The sequence below is a fragment of the Homo sapiens genome, chromosome 7 (genome assembly GCF_000001405.40).
Source record: "Homo sapiens chromosome 7, GRCh38.p14 Primary Assembly".
Taxonomy (NCBI): domain Eukaryota; kingdom Metazoa; phylum Chordata; class Mammalia; order Primates; family Hominidae; genus Homo; species Homo sapiens.
The window spans coordinates 43,832,638-43,839,406 of NC_000007.14; the positions used below are offsets into that span (position 1 = coordinate 43,832,638).

Here is a 6,769-nt window from a genome sequence, read left to right on the forward strand (position 1 = left end):
CCTGGCTCACTGGCTTCCCCCCACCCACCAAGTTATCCTTAAAAACTCTGCTCCCCAGGCCAGGTGCAGTGGCTCATGCCTGTAATCCTAGCACTTTGGGAGGCCAAGGTGGGCGAATGCTGGGGGAGACTGATTTGAGTAATAATAAAACTCCAGTCTCCCCCATGGCCGGGCCTGTGTGAATTACTCTTTCTCTATTATAATTCCCTGTCTTGATGAATTGGCTCTTGTCTAGGCAGTGGGTAAGGTGAACCCCTTGGGCAGTTACAGTCTCTTTTGCTGACTTCTAGAAATTATATTAACTACCATTTATTAAGCAAGCTTTATGTTCCAGGCAAGGTGCTAAGAGTTTTACAGACCATATTTCTTTTTTTTCTTTTTTTTTTCTGAGACAGTTGAGACAGTCTCACTTCTTTTGCCCAGGCTGGAGGGTAGTGGCGTGTGGCTCACTGCGGCCTCAACCATCCAGGCACGAGCAGTCCTCCCATCTCAGCCTCCTGAGTAGCTGAGACTACAGGCATATGCCACCACACCATTTTTTTTTTTTTTGGTAGAGACAGGGTCTCATTATGTTGCCCAGGCTGGTCTTTAACTCCTGGGTTCAAGTGATCCTCCTGTCTTGGTTTACCAAAGTGCTGGGATCACAGGTGTGAGGCATTGTGCCCAGCCTACCTTCTCATTTTGAAAGCAATACAATACCAACTTTAATGGTAATACACTCTTATGTAATAAACAAAGACATTTACAAATATCAGAAACCCAGTTTTGAAACATTTGCATTAACTGTGACCTGAATCAACTTTTTTTTTTTTTCAGACAGAGTCTCACTCTATCGCCCAGGCTGGAGTGCAATGGCACGATCTTGGCTCACTGCAACCTCCATCTCCTGGGTTCAAGCAATTCTCCTGCCTCAGCCTCCCGTGTAGCTGGGATTACAGGTGCATGCCACTATGCTAATTTTTGTTCCAGACCAGCCTGGACAACATAATGAGACTCTACAAAATTAATTAATTAACTAATTAATTAAAAATGATGTTTCTAAAGAATGTAACTTACACACTATGTTGTTAACAGTGTTAACTCAGTGGATGAAAGTGGTTTGCCACACTCATGCATATAATAAATGACAAACATACTTGTTTGAAAGATGCTTCTTTGAAAGCTACTTAGTGGTCAAGCATGGTGGCTCATGCCTGTAATCCCAGCACTTTGGGAGGCCGAGGCAGGAGAATTGCTTGAGTCCAGGAGTTCAAGACCAGCCTAGGCAACATAACGATACTCTCTACAAAAAATTTAAAATTAGCAGAGTGTGGTGGCATAGTTCCAGAACTCTGGGAGGCTGAAGTGGAAGGATCACTTGAGTCCAGCAGTTCTAGGCTGCAGTGAGCTGTGATCATACCACTACACTCCGGCCTGGGTGACAGAGCTACAATATGTTATGAACAGTGTTATTTTAGTGAATGGAAGTAATGTATGTAGTGAAGCGTCTGAAGACACATGTTTAAATAATGTTTCAGATCTTATGGACAGCTGCAAACCATGTCATTCAGAATACACAATCTTCTCAAGTGCACATGGAACATTCTCCAAGATAGAGTATATATCAGGTCACAAAATAAGTCATAACAAATTAAGAAAACTGAAATCATAACAAGTATCTTTTCTGATCACAATGGTATAAAACTAGAAATCAATAATAGGAGTAATTTCAGAAAATTCACAAATATGTAGAATTTAAACAACATGCTCCTATACAACCAATGGGTCAAAGAATTATTTTTTTTTTTGAGATGGGGTCTCACTCCGTCACTCATACTGGAGTGCAGTGACATGATAGTGAGATGAGAAGTCTTCTTCCGATCAAAGGTTTTTCTTGATCGAAGAGTTTGTGGTCTCATGGGCTTCAAGGAATGAAGCTGTGGACCACAGTGGCAAGTGTTACAGCTCAATTAGAGAAACGTGTGGACCCAAAGAGTGTGTGGCAGCAAGATTTATTAAAGCGAAAGTGAATGTAAAGCAAAAGTGAAAGTAAAGCTTCCACGTGGTGGAAGGGGACCTGGAAGGGTTGCCCTGGCTTGAGTGTCTTATGCTTATATGCCCTTATGACTCCTTCCCTTTTCCTTTTCCTTTTCCTGTCCTATAGGATTAGCTTATTTTCTATCCGCTTGTGGGTTGGTGGGCCTGATTGGTTAAAAACATCACGCTGCAGCTAGAGCTTAAACTCCCTATATGATTGGTTGAAGTTTCAATCCCTTAGCTTGCAGCTATGACTCATTTTGGCTTAGGAGAAAGTCCCCTTTGATTGGTTGAAGTTTCAATCCCTTAGCTTGCAGCTATGACTCATTTTGGCTTAGGGAAAAGTCCCCTTAGGGAAGTCCCTATTGACCCAGGAAGTCCAGCCAACTTAGCCACTTAGTCGCTCAATAGCTCACCACAACCTCAACCTCCTGGGTCCAAGTGATCCCCCCACCTCAGCCTCCCCAGTAGCTTGGGACTACAGGCTCATACCACCACATCTGGCTTTTTGTATTTTTTGTAGAGAAGGGGTTTCACCATGTTGCCCAGGCTGGTCTCAAACTTCTGGGCTTAAGCAATCTGCCTGCCTTGGCCTCCCAAAGTGCTGGGATTACCGGTGTGTGCCACTGTGCCCAGCCTCAAAGAAGAAATTTAAAAATCTTTTGAGGCCGGGCACAGTGGCTCATGCCTGTAATCCCAGCAGTTTGGGAGGCCCAGGTGGGCGGGTCACCTGAGGTCAGGAGTTCAAGATGGCCAACATGGTAAAACACGGCCAACATGGTGAAACCCCATTTCTACTAAAAATACAAAAATTAGCCGGGTGCAGTGGCACACACTTGTAATCCCAGCTACTTGGGAGGCTGAGGCAGGAGAATCACTTGAACTGAGGAGGCAGAAGTTGCAGTGAGCCAAGATCGCACCACTGCACTCCAGCCTGGGTGACAGAGCAAGACCCTGTCTCCAAAACAAAAGAGGAATGTTGAAAAAAGAGTAATGTTTCTCAGCACGACAAAGACTATCTCTGACAAGCCCACAGCTAACATATTTAACTGTGAAAATATTTTTTCCTCTAAGATCAGGAACAAGACAAAGATGCCAACTCTCACCATGTCTATTCAATATAGTACTGGAAGTCCTAGCCACAACAATCAAGCAAGAAAAAGCATGACAGACATCCAGATAGGAAAGAAGTAGAAGAAAATTTTTAAATGCTACTTACAAAGTTTGTTGTGAACCGTGTAACTTCCATGTAAGGAAGTAATGAATGTAGTGAAGTGTTTGTAGTCATGTTAAACAGGCTTCTGAAATGTTATTTATATACTATTTTAAAAAGACGTTTCCACAAATGTTACTTATGCAGTGTGTTGTGAAAAGTATTACTTTGGTGAAGGAACGTGGTTACCATACTGAAATTGATGTAAAATATTGGTCCAAACTCCTGACATTCCCTGAAAAGATTTATGGGAATTTCTTTGCTCTCAAGAGATTAATAAGAAATGGAATGAAGCCGGGCACAGTGGCTCATGCCTGCAATCCCAGCACTTTGGGAGGCTGAGGTAGGCAGATCATTTGAGGTCAGGAGTTCAAGACCAGCCTGGCCAACATGGTGAAATCCCATCTCTGCTAAAGATACAAAAATTAGCCAGGCGTGGTGGCAGGCGCCTGTACTCCCAGCTACTCAGGAGGCTGAGAAAGGAGAATAGCCTGAATCCAGCCAGAAGATGTTGCAGTGAGCCAAGGTCAAACCACTGCACTCCAGCCTGGGCAACAGAGTGAGACTGTGTCTCAAAAAAACAAAAACAAAAAAATAAAAATAAAGAAAAAGAAATGGAATGAGATCCTAAACTCTAAAGCCATGCCAAAACAACCTTCCTTTGAGGATTCCAGCTGACTATATTATGGCTCATTCTCATGCACATTTTGAAACAGATGGGCAAATTCTATCAAGGAAAGTTCAGAGCTCAGATGGTCACTAAGAAAACTACAACCAACTATGCGGTTAACAAGCAAAATCTTCGAAGTTCTCTATCTCTCTATTTTATTTTTTTCCTGCCTACTTTCAATCTGCTGACTTTTCTGCTGGTGTTGAGATAAAAATCACTGCTTATGACATTTGAGCCAAGATTTTTTAAAAAAAGACTTAAAGCCATTTCAAATTAATGACTTTACAAATAACAGCTCCATGATAAACAACCTAGACACCTGAACTGTCCCTTTCGGAAATGTAAATTTAGGTTTGCCTGCCTAACAACTGTGTATGGTGACAAAACAGGTAATTGAAAGACTAATAGTCTAGAAGAATTACATAAATGTTTAGAAAAGTTAGGCTCTCAGATCAGACAGGTTAAAATCTTGAGCTCAGAGCCATAATGTAAGTATCAGTGTCTGGCATAAAAATTGCTTTATCTGCCACTCAAGGAGTTAGAAAAAAATTTTTAAATGCAGATAATCTTTTTCCCACCCACACTGGAGCAGGTGGTGAAGCAAAGTAGGTCTGAGGACTGGATTGCCATGTGGACACTGTGTTAATTTCTTTTTCTTTTCTTTTTCTTTCTTTCTTTTTTTTTTTTTCTGAGACTGAGTCTCACTCTGTCCCCCAGGCTAAAGTGCACTGGGTCCATCTCTGCTCACTGCAACCTCCACCTCCCAGGTTCCAGTGATTCTCCTGCCTCAGCCTCCTGAGTAGCTGGGATCACAGGCGTGTGCCACCACGCCCAGGTCATTTTTGTAATTCTTGTCGATTTCCTGATAAAGGGGAGAGTGATTGTTACCTGGGAGAGTGTCCCTGCTTTGGGTAAAAAAACAAGTATTTTGTGTGAAATTACAAATCTGGTACAGCAATAACCACTGGAGACTTTGATAGAAAGGACAGGGATTTGTATTGCTATTGCAAGTTTTCCATAAGAATGAAATTATCAAAAAGTAATTACTTTTATTTATTTATTTATTTAAGACAGTCTCCCTCTGTCGCCCAGGCTGCAATGCAAAGGTGCAATTTCACTGCAACCTCCACCTCTCAAGTTCATGAGATTCTCTTGCCTCCGCCTCCCGAGTAGCTGGGATTATAGGTACACATCACCATGCCCTGCTATTTTTGTATTTTTTGGTAGAGACGGGGTTTCACCATGTTGGCTAGGCTGATCTCGAACTCCTGGGTTCAAGTGATCCTCCTGCCTGGGCCTCTCAAAGTGCTGGGATTACAGGCGTGAGCCACCACGCCCAGCCTCAAAAAGTAATTACTTTTTTTTTTTTTGAGACGGAGTCTTGTTCTGTCGCCCAGGCTGGAGTGCAGTGGCTCAATCTCAGCTCACTGCAACTTCCGCCTCCTGGGTTTAAGCGATTCTCCTGCCTCAGCCTCCGGAGTAGCTGGGATTACAGGCACCTGCCCCTACACTCGGCTAATTTTTGTATTTTTAGTAGAGACGGGGTTTTACCATGTTGGCCAGGCTGGTCTTGAACTCCTGACCTCAGTAATTACTTTTTTAAACAACCATGTGGGCTGGGTTCGCTTGCGTGAGGAACGCTTGCATCCAGGAGCTGAAGACCAGCCTGGGCAACATAGACATCTTCTCTACAATAAAATTAAAAATTAGCCAGGCTTGGTGGTGCATGCCTGTAGTCCCAGCTACTCAGGAAGATGAAACGGGAGGATCCTTCAGCCCAGACGTTAAAGGCTGCAGTGAGCTATGATCGTGCCACTGCACTCCAGCCTGACAGATTGAGACTGTCTAAAAAATGAAAAATAAGGCTAAGGCATGGTGGTTCAGGCCTGTAATCCCAGCACTTTGGAAGGCTGAGGCGGGCGGATCACTTGAGGTCACGATTTGGAGCCTGGGCAACATAGGGAGCTCTGTCTCTAGAAAAAAAAAATCAATCAATCAATCAATCAACCACGTCAATACCGCGTCAGTAAAGCAGAGGTGACACCAAACTTCATTCCAGAGGCTAAGCCTGACCCAAATCCAGTTCAGCCAAAGCTAGGAAACCAGTCTCCCTGGTAAGCCTCTGAATGTGATGTTAGTATTAAAAGGCTGCTGCGTGGTATTATACTAGCAGCCACTGTGTCTTAGCTGTTGAGAAGGACCTCCTGTGTGGTGGAAACCGGGGTTTTTTATTTCCAAAATTCCACATGAAGCCCTTCCTCTACTGGGGGTTCTGAAGACCAACTGCTCCTCAGTAGTCAGGACTGTGACAGGAAGGATTTTACTCACCACTGACGCAGCCTCAAGTTGTCTCAAAGTGAGGCGGTGTCCCCTTAGATCTGTGTTGAGGAAAATGAGGTTCTCCTCCTCACTGCGGGCCCGGCGCTGGCGGCCGCAGTAGGAGCACGGAGGCGGTGGGGGCTTCTCAGGGGTCCGACAAGGCGGCTCGCACGCCCCCTGCTGGTCATCTGGGGCAGCGCGGGGCCCTCGGCGCTCGCTCACTGTTTAGCGGTGGCCGCGTGCCCCCTCCTGGCTGTCTGGTTGAATTAATTAAATTCAGATCGTTCAATGCCATGATTACGGACGTTCAAAATAAAATGGGGCCCACTATCCTGTGTCTTTCTCAAAAATGTTAAAGAAATTATTAATCGGAACGAAATAAATGTAGATCCAAACTTTACAAGTTTCACAAAAATTCATTCAAAATAGTCCATTGACTTAAATTTAAAATACAAAGCTGGCCGGGCGCGGTGGCTCACGCCTGTAATCCCAGCACTTTGGGAGGCTGAGGCGAGCGGATCACCTGAGGTCGGGAGTTCGAGACCAGCCTG

At 44.2% G+C, this 6,769-nt stretch overlaps 5 annotated features.

Annotated features, from left to right (window-relative positions):
* Positions 1,929–2,048: an enhancer, noted in NCBI's record as "active region_25919". NCBI's record gives its function as "activates an Ori minimal core promoter by ATAC-STARR-seq in GM12878 lymphoblastoid cells {active_cell/tissue: GM12878}" and the evidence as "EXISTENCE:reporter gene assay evidence [ECO:0000049][PMID:35858748]".
* Positions 1,929–2,548: a biological region, named in NCBI's record as "Sharpr-MPRA regulatory region 4653".
* Positions 1,973–2,267: an enhancer, noted in NCBI's record as "tiled region #4653; HepG2 Activating non-DNase unmatched - State 2:TssF, and K562 Activating DNase matched - State 5:Enh". NCBI's record gives its function as "activates a minimal TATA promoter and a strong SV40 promoter by Sharpr-MPRA in HepG2 and K562 cells {active_cell/tissue: HepG2 | K562}" and the evidence as "EXISTENCE:reporter gene assay evidence [ECO:0000049][PMID:27701403]".
* Positions 2,179–2,548: an enhancer, noted in NCBI's record as "active region_25920". NCBI's record gives its function as "activates an Ori minimal core promoter by ATAC-STARR-seq in GM12878 lymphoblastoid cells {active_cell/tissue: GM12878}" and the evidence as "EXISTENCE:reporter gene assay evidence [ECO:0000049][PMID:35858748]".
* Positions 6,455–6,534: a silencer, noted in NCBI's record as "silent region_18128". NCBI's record gives its function as "represses an Ori minimal core promoter by ATAC-STARR-seq in GM12878 lymphoblastoid cells {active_cell/tissue: GM12878}" and the evidence as "EXISTENCE:reporter gene assay evidence [ECO:0000049][PMID:35858748]".